Below are 18,393 nucleotides of genomic sequence, written 5' to 3'. Positions count from 1 at the left end.
GGAATATAAGTGAGAAAATGGAGAATTTAATATAGTTGGAATCAATATGTTTAACAAATAATCAAATGGAAATTTGAAGAAGTGAAAAGTATAAAGACTTAAATTGAGAACACAATAGGTGGTTTAACAGTAGAAGAGAGTTTAGTGAAATAAAAGATCACTTGAAAACATCTAGCCCACATATGACAAGAAACAAAAAGGACGAATGATATAAAACATCACTAGAGACATATTGGACATGGTGAGGTAAGAGACAATAAGAAAGAAGCAATATTTGAAAAGATACTGGTGGAGACATAAAAAGAAAATAATTGAAATGATAAACCACAGACTCAAGGTTCTCGATGGACCCCAAGTGAGATTAAAAATAAAAGCGGAAATAAAAACACGTCTAAACACATTACAATAGAGCTACTGAAAACCATGATTTCCCACACCCCAAAATCTTAGAATCTGCCAGAGTAAACTCCACAATAATTTCAATGGCGCAACATAATATAACTGATATTGCTCAACTAAATAATGCTAGAGGAAAATGGAATTATTACCTTAAAATGCTGAATCAAACTAACTTACTTTGAAGTATGTCCATCAATAGTAAAGAGAGAATTAATAAACTTTCAGACAAACAAAATCTGAGAGACTATTTCACCAGAAAAAAAACAAATAGAAAAGAAATATTAGAATAAGTGATTCAGGCAGATGGAAATGATCATAAAGATAATAAAAAAATGCACACATGATGGAGGAGAACTGAAAAATGTATGGGTAAATGTCATAATAATAGTAAAAATAATATCTGCAGGACTTAAATTTTACATAGAATTAAAATACATAACTATAATGCAAAAGGAAGGGAATAAGTGAAATTAAATTATTTGAAAGTCTTTGCATTATCTAGAAAATAATAAAAGGAATAATTTATAGTAGACTCTAATAAGAACACATATTATAAGCTTTAAGTGTCACTACTAAAATAATAATATAAAGTGTAAATATAAAAAGCTAATAGAGGGCCGGGCATGGTGGCTCATGCCTATAATCTCAGCACTTTGGCAGACCAAGGCAGGTGGATCACCTGAGGTCAGGAGATGAGACCAGCCTGACTAACATGGTAAAACCCCATCTCTAGCAAAAATACAAAATTAGCCAGGTGTGGTGGCGCATGCCTGTAGTCCCAGCTACTTGGGAGGGTGAGGCAGGAGAATCGCTTGAACCTTGGAGGCAGAGGTTGCAGTAAGCAGAGATCATGCCATTGCACTCCAGCCTGGGCAACAAGAGTGAGACTGAGTCTCAAAAAATAAAAGAAAAAAGAAAGCTAATGGAGTGGTAGAATAAAATAAGAAAACAATAAATGGCAAGAAAGAGAGAAAAAGAACAAAGAACAGATAGGACAAATAGATGGTAGAATTCAGCACAAATATCAAAGTAATAATATTAAATGGGCAAGAACTAACTACTTCAATTTAAGGACAGATTAAAAAACAATGATATGCTGTATACAATGGACACACTTTCAATATAAGAACATAGAAAACTTATTAGTAAATGAGGTATACATGCAAATATTAACCAAAGCTACTGTGATTCTTCTAATATCAGAATATAAACTTTAAGGCAGGAAACATACTAGAAATAAGTTGGCTATTTTCAAATAATAGAAGGAAAGATATAGCAAATTAGTATACATCTAATATGTAGATTTAAAATATGGAAAGTAAAAACTGACAAACCTTAAAAGTAGCAGACGTTTTCAGTTCATAATGGGTGTTACTGATTAAAACTACAATGAGACACCCCATGTATTAGTTTGTCAGGGCTGCTGTATCAAAGTACCACAGATTGTGTGTCTTAAACAACAGAAATGTGTTGTCTCACACTTTTACACACTAGAAGTTCCAGACCAAGGTGTTAGCAGAGTCAGTTGCTACTGAAAAGAATCTGCTATTCGCTTCGCCCCCTGACTTCTGGTGATTTGCTGGCAATTTTTGATGTTCTTTGGCGGGTAGGAACATCGCCACGATCCCTGCCTTCATAGTCACATAATGCTCTCCATGTGTGCATGTCTATTTCCAAATTTTGCCATTCAAGAATGATAACAGTCTCATTGAATTTGGGCCCACTCTATTGACTCATTTTAATTGATCATTTCTATAAAGACCTGATATCCAAGTAAGGTTACATTCTTAGGTACTGGAAGTTAGGGCTTCTACAAGAATTTTGGGGAACACAATTCAACCCATAATACCACACCTACCATAATGACTAAAAAAAGCAAGACAAAACAAGAACAAAAATGAGAAATACAAAGCATTGGTAAAGATGAAGATGTTCAGACATTAATAATGCAAGGTTAAATTGTGAGAGTGGAATTTGCTTAGCAATATCTGCTAACAAGTAAACACATAACAATTCTATTCCTTGTTATTTATTCTACTGCAACATGTAAATATACAAAACAAAATCCATGTATAACAATATTCAAAGCAGCACTATTTATTGTTTTTTTATTTCAATAGGTTTTTGGGGAACAGGTGGTGTTAGGTTACATGAACAAGTTCTTTAGTGGTGATTTTTCTGACATTTTGGTCCACTCATCAACCAAGCAGTGTACCCTGTACCCGATGTGTTGTTTTTTATCCCTTGCCATCCCCCACCCTTTCCCCCTCAAAGGAACACTATTCTTAATAACCCAAAGTGGAATCTACTCACATGTCCATCTACAGTAGAATGGACACATTGCAGCATAATCATGCAATGGGATGCTAGATAGCAATGATCATGAACACGCCACTGCTATTTGCTAAAGCGTAGATAAATTCCATATTGAATGAAAGGCAGACAAAAAAGTACATATTGGGTGATTTTATGTATGAAAAGCTAAAAAAAATAAATCGGGCAAGGCGATTCTGTAATGAAAGAAGTCAGAATATTGGTTACTGTTAGGTGAGAATGGTGCCTGAGAAGTTGCATGAGGGGACCTCTGTGGGTCTGTGCTATCACTGTATTGCTTCAAAGTTATACACAAGAACATCTAAGTTGGTTATAAATGGATAAAATAAGATAAATAAGGATTTTCAAAGACTCATCAAAATAATTATTTAGAACATGCTTTTCAAAGGCTTATTGAAACAGGTATTTAAAACAGTTAAAGTTGAAGAATATTTCCTGAAAGATTTTTATACTTTGTCTGAAAGAGCTAGGCACTTCATTAGAAAGAAAAAAAATGGACAGGAAAACTTACTTTTACTTTAATAGTAATTATAGTTTCCTTTCCCTTTCTATGGGTAGTAAAAATGTTTTAATTTTTTTCTCATATCCCCTTAAGTTTCTTAAAATTCTTTCTTTTCTATGGACAATTTTAGTCCTTCGGACTATTTTACTCATTTTATATAGCATTCTGTCAACTTTTAATGGGAAGATATTGAAGAAAATAAATGATAAAACATAATTTGATGTTTTTATCTAAAAAAAAAGAAACGGCATTTTTCTCTGAAAGTTTTATTTTTAGAAAATAAAAATCAAAGAAATTTTTTCCTCAATAGAATACTACTTTCAATAGAGTGGAAACAATTTTTGACATTTGACTGAGTGCTTGAATTTTGCATTAGCATGTGATTGGGAAAAATGCATTGAAATATAATACTAAGGTAAGTATCCATCTGTTGATGCCTTATATTATTTTACCGTTCTGTTCTTATATATTACTTCAGGTGAAAAAAAATCTTCTAGTCTATATGCCAATGTTTAGGTAGTGGTTAACAAACACTTCTGATGAAAGACAGTATTACAATCTCGTCTGCTGTTTACTGAAGAGGTGTGTATCAAGACACAAATAAGAAATGTCTCCCTCTGATGGTAAAAATATTGAACTTCAGACAGACACCTAGTTCTCTAGTATGAAAACAAGAAACACAGACATCGTGTTCTACGCGACTGAAGTGCTGTCATTTTAGCTATAACAAACACTCTGAAAAATAACAACTTTTTTAAATAGAGACTCGAAAAGATTAATTATTAAAACAGTAACTACACACAAATGAAGGGAGCCAGATGGATTAGAGTGTGGATGAATCAGCATAAATGTGACCTGGCCAGATACCCATGGCTCATTTCAGCCAGTGGTTCTACTATGAAAAATAATGCGCCGGGCGCGGTGGCTCACGCCTGTAATCCCAGCACTTTGGGAGGCCGAGGCGGGCGGATCACGAGGTCAGGAGATCGAGACCATCCCGGCTAAAACGGTGAAACCCCGTCTCTACTAAAAATACAAAAAATTAGCCGGGCGTAGTGGCGGGCGCCTGTAGTCCCAGCTACTTGGGAGGCTGAGGCAGGAGAATGGCGTGAACCCGGGAGGCGGAGCTTGCAGTGAGCCGAGATCCCGCCACTGCACTCCAGCCTGGGCGACAGAGCGAGTCTCCGTCTCAAAAAAAAAAAAAAAAAAAAAAAAGAAAGAAAAATAATGCATCCTAAAATGATGCATCTCTTTTCCTAGACGTGTTGGTGTGGAGCAATGACCGAGTTATTCGCTGGATACAAGCAATTGGACTTCGAGAATATGCAAATAATATACTTGAGAGCGGTGTGCATGGCTCACTTATAGCCCTGGATGAAAACTTTGACTACAGCAGCTTAGCTTTATTATTACAGATTCCAACACAGAACACCCAGGCAAGTCACTTTCTGCTGTAGTCTCAATGTGTTCTGGTTTATATAATGATAAACTAAACTTTTAGAAAAAAATTGGCTGTGTATTCATGATTGTTAATGAAAGTTAACTCAATGTTTGAAATATGTCACTGGGGTTTTAATTTCAGGCTAGTGGATTTCTAGCCAAAAAAAAAAAAAAAAAAATCATACAATTAAACAAGAAAGGGATTTCGAAGTTATGTGGCCCAGTCTCCCACCTGAATGCCAGATTCCACTAAATGAAATCCCTGACAGATGGCCATCAGTCTCTGCCTCTCTGAGAGGCAGTCATTTCTATTTACATGTATGAATTATACAGACTCTTAGCATTGGATATGTCAGTGATTCCCAAAACTGGATAATAATTTGAATCAGTATAGTTCCTTATGAATAAAAAATAAAACCTCCAACCCACATCATAGTCCTAAGACATCAGTTGTCAAGAGATAGGGCATAGGAATCTTTATTATCAAAACTTTCCTCAAATGATAATCATTGGCCAGGTTTGAGAACTACCTACATAGATTCAATAAAAATTTGGCAGTCTCGTTTCACTTTTTATTTTGTTTTTACATATTTCAGAGATTAAACAAAATACTCAATTGAAATATAGTAACGAAGTGAGGCCAAAGCCTCTTGACCTCAGATGTTTATGCAAGACTGTCTCTCTACTGTTCACAGAAAAAAAAAAAAAAGCCCTGTTTTTTTTGTAGTTAAAATTTACAATGGCTAATAACAGACATGGAGGGCTAAAAACTTCAAAACCCATAAATAAAGTATGGTTTATAATACATTATCAGATAAATATAAGCTACTTGATTTTTAAAATAAAATGTGATTTCGGTGATGGTAACTGTAATTTGACGTCAACAGGCAAGGCAGATTCTTGAAAGAGAATACAATAACCTCTTGGCCCTGGGAACTGAAAGGCGACTGGATGAAGTAAGTCCACCTGTTATTCAAAAGAGATCTGAGAGAGTAAAAGAAAAATGATAGAACATCTTTGTTTTTAAGGAATAGTGCTTGGAAATTAATCAAATGACTGTTCTATGGTTAGAATCAATAATTTTCTCCAGGTTTGTTGTTAAATATTCAATCTTATTACTTAATTTTGGAAAGAGCTATATTAATTCATAAATATTATCATTTCAGCAGGTAGAGATACTAAACAGTAATTTACAAAACATTTTTATGAGTCGTGACTGCAAAACGTTGGGCAACATTATTTTAAAAAATTAGAAAAAAGTTAAAACACTAATGTTGATAAATTCAGCTTTTTAATAAAGAGTGCGTGTATTTCTTAAATATCAGTATATCTTGCCAGGAAATTTTAGAAAATTAAAATGAGGATAAAACTTGCTTCAATAAATGGAAAGCTTTTTATTATTTTATATATTGATACTGAGTTTTCCTTCAAAACAGATTAATAACATTTTAACAGTCATAGAATTTGAAAGCTATATTGAATATAAGAATCGCTATATAATATGTGCATATTAAGTTATTTGGAAAATAATAAACATGTAAGTAGCCTCCCGAGATGAATGAATACAAGGGATATCAGCAAATGCTGTGGACTGTAGACATTTTAATAGTCTTTCTGAGTTTTTCTACAGGGTCTTTCTGGAAGAAGTGGGAAGGAAACCTGAGCATGAAATAGAAAATAAAGAGATGCATAATTCTGTGTTGCAAAGTACAGGTGTTCCTTACTACAAAGACAAGCTGATTAAAATTATTTTGTGAAGACCTCAGCAAATTCAAATATGGACCAATCATTCTATATTCAAATAGGCAGGACAGATAATCTTGGTATTATAAAATCCACTCTGTCCTTTATGGTGGGGATTATAGAGAGATAAGTTCTACAGTCTTGAACTCAGCTAACTTCTGATAAATTCATGCTCTTATTCAATCAGCATAATGATTAATATTTTTAAAAGCCTCGTCTTATAAGTTGCATGACAGTCTTTTAAATCCTTACTAGAAATTATTGATTCAAAAAGGTAGTCTTATAAACTCATACATCTTAAAATACAATTATTCTTACTTATAAGTTGCAAAAATTTCTAATAAAAAATTATTGAAGAGTTGTCATATTGCTACATTCTCTTAGGAGCTGTCCAGGTGTGGGGTAGCTTCTTAATAGTAATGAACTAGAAGAAAAGTCTATTGAGCCAATTAAACGAGATGCGACTCGTTGTCTTTAAACTATGCTGCTGCTTTTTCTTATTTTTAAAAGCACAAAATAGAATTTTGTCATTTAAACCCTCTAGTCTCTTTTGTTCAATTTTATTTTATTTTTTAGTGTGAGCAAAAATAGCCAACTTACTTAGAACAGTAGTGGACTTATTTCTGCGGTTTTGCTGATCACATTCAGATTCCACTGAAATAATCTGAGAGGTGTCAACAAGCTTATACAGACTTTGACCCCAATTAAAAGAATTAACCCTATCTCATGAAAAGTTTTCCCCATGATGTTGTTGTTTATAGTTCTATCAACTTTCTGCAGTAACAATATGTTGAAAGAACAGAAGTCAGGAATCATAATTCAAACGCTTAACTCTAAAAACTGGCAATTTTTTTTTTTTTTTTTTTTTTTTTTGACAGAGTTTCGCTCTTGTTGCCCAGGCTGGAGTGCAATGGTGTGATCTCGGCTCACCACAACCTCCGTCTCCTGGGTTCCAGCGATTCTCCCACCTGAGCCTCCCAAGTAGCTGGGATTACAGGCATGTGCCACCACACCCATCTAATTTTGTATTTTTTAGTAGAGACAGGGTTTCTCCATGTTGGTCAGGCTGGTCTGGAACTCCTGACCTCAGGTGATCCGCCCACCTCAGCCTCCCAAAATGCTGGGATTACAGGCGTGAGCCACCACGCCCAGCCAAAACTGGCTTATTTTTAAGCCCCTAGCTACGACACTGTAAGGAGTTGTGTAGCTCTACAGTGTAACATAGTGTTTTATAAAACTGAAGACTATTTATGCTTAATGCAAAAACTTCTCCAAGAATCAAGAAGTCGTAGAGGCTGCAACTGTGAAATTCTGTTTCTTTTCTACATTTACACACATTTGGAGATCTAGGGCAATGAAAAACACAGCAGTTGGGAAGAGTAGCGGACATCTCTTAATGTGCAAAATGGCTACCACACTGAAACAAAATGTAGATTTTAATGATGATAAGGATTGAAACAGTGGATATATGTTATTATATAAAAATGATTTTATTTTTCCCTGATTGACTTTAAATGTCCCTTAATTAATATAGCAGTCTACAAAGCCTACCTTATAGAATTATTCACTATAACATAGCACAAATTACTATGTTGAGTGAATATAGACTTATTATTCCAAATGCCAGAATGAAATCAAATGAGATATTAGGATACACAACATATACTTGGCTATACCTATCTATGGCATAGATAGTCCTTCCCTAGATAAGAAACAGTGAGATGAGAAGACAAGACCTATGTGGAATGATTCATATTTTCCTTGGAATTAGACACAGAATATTCATTGACTGCTGAATTATATATTGCTACTTGCCAATTTGGAGGAAAATAATTATGTCTGTAAAAGTACTTTATGTACACAAAGAGAAGGAAGAGATTATTTTATTAAGGCATAACAAAATCAGCAACCAGAATTAAAATGTAATTGCTATGCTACATTCTAAAATGTGGATTCACCCTAGGATCTGTCCAAGTAGAGACACTAGCCTATGTGGGGTATGATGTTGCTTCCTGATAGTAATGAACTAGAGAAAAAGTCTACTGGGCCAATTAAATGGGATGTGACTCTCTGCCTCTGTGTATATTAAAATACACATTATTAAAATGTAACCAGGGTAATATTATGCTTTCGGTGGTACCCAAAGACCACATGTACTTATTGAAAGGATGGTGTCCAGGCTACACAGATTTTTCAACAAATTGCAAGTTAATTCTGTGTCACCTAAAACTTCACAAATCACATATTTAGAGTTTCTTGTACAGATATTATAATAGGCTACAGTGTCTCATATTAGCCATGCCATCTCAAATATAGATTTCCCCAAAATAAATACCTACATTGTATTTGTGTACATAGAAGTCATTTCATTCAAGTGTGTGAGTTAAATGTAGTCTACTCAACAACTGATTCAATTAAGTATATCATCTCTTTCCATAAAACCCGTCGGCATAAAGTGGAACAATGTATATACAATATTTATTTTGGAAAACATTGGTTGCTTATTTTAGGCTTTCAAGGATATTTACTGTATAGATGTCAGACCTTAAATTTGAAATTGTATGAAAAGTTTTATTTAAAAATTTATATATCAAATCTCCTATAGTCTTGTTTTGGAATCATAGAACTAACTATCTTGATAAAGCGTGATTCCATACGTATACTTGACAGACTAAATGTAAATAATCTATGTTACATGTTTCTAAGCACAGAGCTTTAAGCACATGGACTAGTTTACTTGTTTTCATAACATCACCTTATAACTGTACTGGCAGAGTGATGACAAGAACTTCAGACGTGGATCAACCTGGAGAAGGCAGTTTCCTCCTCGTGAAGTACATGGAATCAGCATGATGCCTGGGTCCTCAGAAACATTACCAGCTGGATTTAGGTTAACCACAACCTCTGGGCAGTCAAGAAAAATGACAACAGATGGTACAGTAGTTTTGCATTGCTGCTTATCAAGCAAAAAGCTTGTTTAGCCAAAGCTAGTATAATTCTCTGACCTTGCTTTTTGGAATTATTTTCTTGAGTTGGTTTGCTCTGCTTGAAATTTACTTTGCTCTCATCACAAACCAGACTCCTTTTTACACTGCTATTGCATGAACTCATGGCACTTTATTCACATTTTCAAAATAATTTATAACATCCCAAAAAGAACAATTTGGTTAATGTCCACCTCTAGGAGGAACAATAAACATCGGCAGGATTTGTGTTTCTTTAGTCTTCTATTCCCAAAATTAACAATTTGTTTAAGTTAGAGGTTGGACTTGGACTAAAGATCCATAGTAAATGGAAATTAACTCCACTGTCTCCCTACATGTTTAAATACTGCGAGTTTTATATGTCATCTTAGAAATTCACTCATCAAATATTTTTCCCTCTAGCCAAAGCAGAAGCCCTTAAATAAACAAGCCATGAACATGAGAAGAGAATTAAAGAAACACAAAACACAGTAATTTCCCAATTACTATTTCCTTCTGTGGACATTAGACTTAAGCTATCTAATTTACAAAAGAAAAGTCATTCCAGAGGAGAGACAACTTTGAAATAGTAGTCACAAAATTATTTCTGTTTGGGAGGCATTAAAGAAAAATAGTCCCATGCTATTTGTTAAGATAATCACCTAGCATCATTATTTCTTGTCAAGGTCACAGTTATTATAACTCAAATTTAGTTCCAACATAAACTGTGATCTTGATCTACATTTCTTACAACTTGTTAATACGGTGGAACATGTCAGCGAAATTCATGAGGAATTTAACATCATTACAATTAGTGTAGAAGTTCTTCAATACTTGGAAAGGAAAAAAAATCCACTATAATGAGTTCTCTAAGAGCAATCTCCATATCAAAATCAGAAGCACCCTCGGGAGCTGCTCTTGTTACCGATTTTATCTAAGGAAGAATACATAACAACTCAAAAGCTCAGGTCATTTACATTGGGATAAATTTTCATTAGGAACTTGATCTAGAGAAGAGGAATGTGAGTGGCTTATATCTGAGAGAAAGAAGGTCTACTAATATGTTCGGAATCCCTGTATGCAGGGAAAATAAATCTTTCTCATCTGAAATCTTGTACTCAATCATCCAAGTCCCTCTAAAGCCCTTTTCTCCATTTGCAGTTGCTTCATCAAGACTGCAGAGGTTAGACAACTCCACTGTTCGCACATACTCATGTTGACCAGCCACTCAAAGGAGGCAGCACTGACCTGCTGTGAGTAGTTTCCCTTTGGCTGACAAAAAAAAAAAGACAAAAAAATGGAACCTACATAGACTAATAAATATACACTATACTCTTTGGTATGCCCTAGCAGTACAGAAATGAGATAACCCTTTTGAATTGCTTCAGGGGAAAAAGAAATCTTCATATTGTAACACTTAGTCTAGCATTTCCTATCACCATCTGTCTCCTGTGGTTTAAGGTCTGCCTGTTGGAGGCCTATCACTGTATTATTACACATCAATGGGTTGCCACTACACTGTTTTCTACTTTTTAGTACCATTTCCTGTTGAGTAACTTAGCATTTTATTGATAATAATTCAGCACTTTAAAAAATCCTATCTTTTTAAGTGTATATTTTATATAAGGAAGCCAAGGTAGCGGATAGGGATTTAAGCAAGTTCACCGAGTCAAATAGCAACAGACAGGAAAATGATTTAGAGATGGTTTCATATTAAAAAATAGAAACTTGCCGAGGCAGGTGGATCACTTCAGGTCAGGAGTTAGAGACCAGCCTGGCCAACATGGTGAAACCTCATCTCTACTAAAAACACAAAAAGTAGCCAGGCATGGTGTTGCACTCCCATAATCCCATCTACTTGGGAGGCTGAGGCAAGAGAGTCACTTGAACCTGGGAGGCAGAAGTTGCAGTGAGCGATGGTGCCACTGCACTCAAGCTTGGGTGACAGAGCATGACTCCGTCTTAAAATAAATCAATAAATAAATAGTAGAAACTGTGAAAAATTCAAACCTTTATTACATTGTTTCTTATCAATCTGATTTACACTTGCTAAAAACAAATATAAATTTTAAGTATTTAAGACATATAGGAACAAAATAAAATTACTTTAAGAATGGAGAATAGGACCAGCACAAAACCTTCCTATGTAACCATAAATACCAAGCATTTGATTTTAAGGAAATACCAATTAATGAAAGCTACTTTAAAATCCATATAAAAATGAGGTTTTATTGAAAAACAGTCTTAATAGTAAAACTGTGGTTTCTTAGATTTATAAATGTCAAATGTTCATAATTTTTTTTCAACCTAAAACTATGCTTTACCAAAATATTTAACCACTTTCGATGAATCAATATTTTAGAAAAATACTTTTTAAGAGCGATATTTAGAACAAAATGTGTGCACAGGGTTAAGAGAAAACAGTTATAGACAGAGGAACAACTCACCTTGTGCTGTTTTCATTGCCTTGAACTAAAAGTGCCACACAATTTATTGTTGGTCTTTTGGGCTTAGGATGGGAGCAGATATGCTGCCTTATTTGGATCACTATTTGAAGCTGATAAAATGAAAAGCATCCCGATAAGAGATTTAATTTCAGAATGTACAACCCTTACATTAAAATTTTAATTATGGTATATAATTTGGCACCTAATTAGACATGATTTAAAGTATATAATAATTTGGCTAAATAAGAGGTCTCCCAAAATACTGTTTATATTAGATTCTACACATAGCATTATAATTTCTTCAGGAAATGAACACTTCACTAATTTACAAATGACTATTTAATATGTTCAATAGTGCTTGCTTCTTAGCTCTTAAGTGATGGGTAGAGTTACTCTATTTGCAATCTGTTTTTTGTGCATGACATTCTAGTTCATATTTCCTAGTTTTTACCATTAATTGGGATAACAGTATTCATTTACAATAATTCAATCTAGGACAACCATTTTTTGTTTGGGTGAAACAACAACACTTTTGATATTAAAATAATCCAGAGCATACTACTTGCTGTTTCTTTTGTGTCAGTAATAGCAATTGTGAGCTTTTTCTAAGTACATTATGGCTGAAAACAATCAGCAATGCCATACTACTGACACAAACGTTTACAATAGGTGACTTATTATCGTTATGTTTTTGTAACAAATAAAGGTATTTTTTAAGAACTCTAAAATATATGAACTAGAATATAAATCTACATTATGAAATAGGTCAATTCAACCCAATTTATTAATTAGCAAGTTGTAAATTTTTCAGAAGGCATGCTAACATTTTGCATAACTACCTTTGTTTACATTACTGCCATACTTTCCACAAAGTTGAGCAAATTCTATTATTTGTTAAGCTCCCCTGCACCAAATTGGAGAAAAGCAAATGTTAATTACATACGGCTGTTGGCTACATCCTAGATGATTTCCTTCTCATGATCTTCTAGGACAGGAGTAAGCAGGCTGCGTGGAGGTACACCACAGAGGAGTAGAATGAGATTTCCCAGTCTGGGACTTTTCAGTGAACTAATGCTATCCATTGTATATTTTAGATGGCGTCTTTTCAGTCTACTCTACCTAAAGTGCACTACCATCTAAGAAGACGAGCAGTGAAAACCTTTGTGAAAACTGAATTCTAAGGAAATAATGACGTCATGACTTATTAAAAGCTGAAAAATGTGATTTTTGGGGGGAGTCAGATATTACATTTGATTAGTTTACTACAAATTGTAATAAAATGCTTAAGTCATTTGAATAATAAACATCATCTACATCATAAACTCTGTACAACAGATGCTTTTATGAAATGAAGCCAGTTGTTTTTCATGTTTTATTGTAATATACTAGGCATTTATGTATTACCGTGCATTTCTTTTTAAATGTGTAAGTCTTATGTAAATGGATATAAATATGATTTTTTAAAAAATAAAATATATGGTTCATGGAGTCTCGAGTGCAAACATTTGACAATTCCAAGTACTGTTTGTATTTTACCATTCCACCATTTTTACAGTTTTTGGATTGTTAATAGTCAAATCAATATGTTTCCTTGAAGCATGTTTCATGCTTCAACGTGTTTCTCCTTCAAGTCTGTCAATACTTAAAGCTGAACAACCTGCCTCTGATCATGTAAAAAAGAATGATTTAACCTGGAACCGGAGCCAAAAATAGAGCTTTAAAGGCAATCAGGGATGTCCTATATCTTTAGAAATAGCACTGTGATGGCTTGATCTCCTTTTCAATACAAAACAAAGCCAAGCTGTTTACAAGGGTCAAAAGCAATTATTTAAAAATTTATATTAAAAAACCATAATCTTCTCTTGTTACCTGTGGACCAAGAAAAAAAAAAAGATAAAAAAACTTCTTTACTAAGAACCACATGTTCATTCAAATATCTTGAAATGCCAGCCAGTACTGGACAGTGAATGTCAACCACCGCAGAGTCTGAGGCTCATTTCCACTAGAGAAAACGAAACCCAAGATACCTTTCCCTTTTGTCAATGTAACAGGGCATTAGCCAGACTCATGTCTAATGTTATAAGCTTTTAGCCGAGATGGCCTTGTTGCGACTTCCCTGAAGTCAGTTTTATCAGAGGAAATAAATGAAAGACAGAATGATTAACATATATAGTGTATAAAAGTATAGAAGAGTAATCTCTTCCCTGTGGCTTTATTTGGTGGTGTTACTGTTGTTTATTCTTTGTTTATATGGGAGATTCAAAGTAAAGCCTATTTAATAATACCATTTATCTAACTGCTGATTTTCTGCTGCTTGATCTTATTAAGCGCAAGACCTGTCATTAGTAATTTCTTTTCTGTATTTTAATTTGCTATGTTTGCACGTACATTACATTTGTTTTGATGTCTATTTTTATTTAACAGATTCAGTCAAAAGGTAATGATAACAGAAACCCTTTCCATTGTCAATAAAAAAAATAATAATTCCAGTTCTCTGTTTAAGCTTTGTTTTCTAGTCACATAAGGCTCGACAATTTACTTAAACTATCAGGAAATGTGTTCTTTGGGTGACCCAAATATTTAGCTTCAAAATTGAGTCTGCCACAAGAGGGAGATCTAAACTTGCTTATGGGAGTGATCTTAAAATTTTTTTCTAAAAATGTGGCCTGAGTAGGAACAATGAGAAGTAGCTTTCTAAGCTCATCTAAACATGGGCATCTTGATTCATAGAAATGAAATAGAATATAGGAACTACGACATTATAATGCCATAACTAGATTTGTATCTACTATTATATAACACTCAATCACTAAAATCAATTTCTTTCTTTTAAAGATCAAGTTAGAAAGATTAATCATCTATAATAGACACTAACATATAGTGATGCAAAAGATCCAGGTATTTCCCTCAAAAAAGAAGCATAAAATATGTTTTAATTTATAAGAAAGATAACTTCTACTAGATTCTAAAATCCATTTAATGGATTAAGCTCAGAGTCTCAACACGTTACTTTTGATCATCAACATTATAAATTTTCACATTTTTAATGTTCAGGACCTTTCAAATACAATTTTATATAAACAAAACTGGTTTTTAAATGTAGGATAGGTCTCATTTAAATATGTTTAATATATTTTCACAAGCAAAGTAATTCAATGAATTGGAAAATACTATAACTTCTGAAAGCACTTTATATTTTCATTTTCCAATAACTTAACAGTAAGAAATCCTATGAAAATACCAAACGAAGACCTCACAGAATTTATTCTAGCAAGTTTAAGTATGTCTGCATTTTTTAGTAATATTATATTGTTGTTTTTAAAGATACATTTAATTCAGAATCTTTAAAGTACTATCTAGCAAAAGTGATTTATGGTTAGTAGTAAAATAGAATTTTTTCCTCCCAAATTTTAAGCAGTCTGATGATTCAGGTATATCTTTCTTGCCCTATTTTTTCATCACATAAAAGTAACAACATTCTTTGATCTTGCAATTCCCCAGTGAGACACAGGAAATAGCCACTTCCCCAGTCTCCAGCACTGTTTTCCATTCCCATCCTAGTGGAAAATAACCCAAGTCTGCTTGCTGAGATGTCGCTTCAGATTTGATTACCAGAAAAAATGTGCAAGAGGACCAAAGATGCAACCTTTACCTAATTATTGGATCTGCCTGAGCTTAAACCTTGCAAATGAACAATGATACACATTCAGGTAAATAATTTGCCATTTCAAATTAACTGACTCTTATTTGAAAAAAAATAAGGAAACACATTCTACTCCTAAGACATTAAAATGAGTTATTAATGAAGACCACAGTTGTGACAATGGATAAAACGTACCAATGAAAGAGGCAACTCAAGGATCCCAACAGCTTCAAATGAGAGAGTGTCTATGTAGCTGGTTTAATTCAGTCTACTAACATAATTAAAAGGAAAAAGTAGATGAATATATTTTTCCAGGTGTAACAATCAAGAAGGCAATTTAAGTAAATAGGAATTTACTTTGAGAAGCCATTTATTTTGCAGTCTTCAGTCCAAAAAAAGTCAACATTTTCAGAATTTTTTTATATAAGTTGTAGGTCATTTTTATAACAATAAACTTTCTATTATCTATTTATCTCTCACATACATTTCATGTATCCTGAGTATTATGTTACAACAATCTGCTCTTGATAGTAATGTTCCTGATAGATTAAAAGATTGAGAAATACTTGAAGAACGATCAAAGATACAATGAGCATGGTATACTTTTGGGTTAAAATGTATTCTTTGATAACTGATGTCATATAGATCCCTAAGTAAATCAAATATTTAATTTCCTACATCTGTCTACCTTAGTTAACTGGCCCATTCCTATAAGCTTAACAAAAACTCACTTTACAATTATTTAAAAAAAACATTTAAGAGATTTTTAGAAGTTAAATGGAAAGATACTTTTGGACATTACAATATTTTTAATGAGTTATTATTTTAAAATTAGAGATTTCACATAAAAACCAGGATTCTTTGTTTTCTCTTTAAAAAAACAGAGGCTCTTGCAACAGGAGACCTGCCTCCTTTTTGGGCCATATTCTGCTGGGTCCGCTGCTCCTTGAGGTATAGCAGGTGATCTGCAGTCTTCACCATTTTCTACTGTCCTTTGTCCCTCAAACCTAGTGGCTTAAGTTCACTTCAAAATCACCTAGACATTACACTACCTGCCTAGAAACCTTCTTGTCTTTAACCTAATGTGAAAACCTTGATGTTTCTCTCTTAAGAGTTTTCCTTGCCACCCTACCCCATTTGTACATCGATTCCTTGTTTCCACAGGAATCTGGAATCATTTGGATAAACATAGTCAACTAAGAACCTGAGACATGAAGAGGGGCTCCCAGGAGCCCTCATCTCCATGAAGAGATTGGACTAAATGATCTCTTTGTTCTCCGCCAGGCATGTGGTTTTTTTGTTGTTTTTGTTGTTTTGAGATGGAGTCTTACTCTGTCACCCAGGCTGGAGTACAGTGGGGGAACTTGGCTCACTGCAACCTCTGCCTCTTGTATTCAAGTGATTCTCCTTGCCTCAGCCTCCCGCCACCACGCCTGGCTTATTTTTGTATTTTCAGTAGCTACAGGGTTTCACCATGTTGGCCAGGCTCGTCTCAAACTGCTGACCTCAAGTGATCCGCCTGCCTCAGCCTCCCAAAGTGCTCGGATTACATGCTGAACCAGGTCAGACATGTGGTTTTCCTTGCCTAAGTAACAAAAGACCTGAAGGTATAGCTATAACCCCGGTGTTCTGCTTTCCCTCAGAAAATGTATAGAAAAGCCCTCCTACCTAGATAATAATTTCATCTGTCTAGATGATTACCTAAACTTCCCATTTCATCTATTTTATTTAAAACAATGTGAGCATCTAAAGAATACTAGAAAATATCTAAAATTTCTACAAGAAAAATTTTAATTATTTTCTGACTTTAAGTTTTAGATTTTGGATCAAAACTACAGATTCTTGGTTTCAGGAAGTGGCTCTATATTAGTGTTGCTTTCAATTAAAGTGTTCTTCTTGGGAGGTACAATTTTAAAAATAATACACTAGATACGTTTTTCCTAAAGCAGTAGATGACATTCAATAAGCCATGTTATAGATAACTAATAACAATGCTAACAGGGTCAAACCAAAAAAAAGGCACAGGTCTTTCACATGTTTTCATTAGATTTGTTTAGGCCAAGTTTTACAATTCACATTTCATTTTGCAAGTAATTTCTACTGAAATATTTATTTCTGAGAAACAACTCAAATAATTTAATTTCAATTAAGAAATTAAATCAACTCAAAATAGGAATAAGACAAACTCATTATGCTTGCTTCAGCATTTCTTCTACGTGGCCAAAAATGCTGGGGTCTTCAATTGTAGAAGTTATCTGGAAAAAAAATTAGGGTCAGGTGAATACTCTTCCTTGAATTTCTTCTACTCTTTCTATAATTAAACAATTATATGCAATGTTGTTTTCCCCATTGTCTTGTAATATTCATATGGAAAGTTTAAAAATAGGGAACTTTGAACCTAATATATTAATACTCATCTGTAGCTTTCCAGAGTAAAAAAATAAACAGTTCAGTTAGCAAAACTATTGGACCTAGATGGTATTTTCTCTAGAGTTGGAGTTCCTCTTAAGAGTCTTCTATATATTTCTGTAGAAAGAATGTTTCTTTTTTGTCACTTGTTCACATAACTACTCCTTACTGTTGCATTGCCTTTTATTATCTTAATGATAAAAATAGGTATATCTTTGCACACATAATGTACACACAAATTAAAACATATGATTGAATCAGCCTAAGATTTCCTAAAATAATTACAAAATTAGCATTTATCAGTTAGAGCATTTTAAACATCTACTGCCGCTAGCCTCAATTATTTTGCTTTCTCATTCACTAATTGCCATTAATTACTATAATAAGGAAAATGTACCTTTTAATTCAATAGGATTAAGTTTCCACAAATTTGTTTGAATTTAACTGACAATTACTAAGAGAAAAAATATTTTGGCAGGCAGCAGTGGCTCAGGCGTGTAATCCCAGCACTTT

At 33.8% G+C, this 18,393-nt stretch overlaps 2 protein-coding genes across 54 annotated transcripts in view; one reads left to right on the top strand and one right to left on the bottom strand.

Moving 5' to 3' along the window:
• The window catches only part of PPFIA2 (PPFI scaffold protein A2), a 501,376-nt gene extending 486,768 nt beyond the window's left edge, over positions 1-14,608 (top strand). For 26 of the 50 annotated variants that reach the window (XM_017020088.2, XM_047429788.1, XM_047429785.1 and 23 more), the window contains 4 exons: positions 4,496-4,671; positions 5,563-5,631; positions 9,193-9,352; positions 10,543-10,631. In XM_017020088.2, the coding sequence (XP_016875577.1) occupies positions 4,496-4,671; positions 5,563-5,631; positions 9,193-9,352; positions 10,543-10,601 (464 nt within the window). In that variant the 3' untranslated portion in view covers positions 10,602-10,631. Of the gene's footprint in view, positions 1-4,495; positions 4,672-5,562; positions 5,632-9,192; positions 9,353-10,542; positions 10,635-12,922 lie in introns of those variants that run through there. The other 24 variants (XM_024449242.2, XM_017020107.3, XM_024449240.2 and 21 more) reach the window with 2 other exon arrangements.
• Positions 11,373-18,393, bottom strand: part of ACSS3 (acyl-CoA synthetase short chain family member 3) — a 183,340-nt gene continuing 176,319 nt past the window's right edge. For all 4 annotated transcript variants that reach the window (XM_047429549.1, NM_001330243.2, NM_024560.4 and 1 more), the window contains one exon: positions 11,373-17,726. In XM_047429549.1, the coding sequence (XP_047285505.1) occupies positions 17,661-17,726 (66 nt within the window). In that variant the 3' untranslated portion in view covers positions 11,373-17,660. The remainder of the gene's footprint in view (positions 17,727-18,393) is intronic.

This window comes from Homo sapiens, chromosome 12 (genome assembly GCF_000001405.40).
Source record: "Homo sapiens chromosome 12, GRCh38.p14 Primary Assembly".
NCBI lineage: Eukaryota > Metazoa > Chordata > Mammalia > Primates > Hominidae > Homo > Homo sapiens.
Note: the sequence above shows the minus strand (reverse complement) of the source record. Positions and strands in the feature narration are given on the sequence as shown.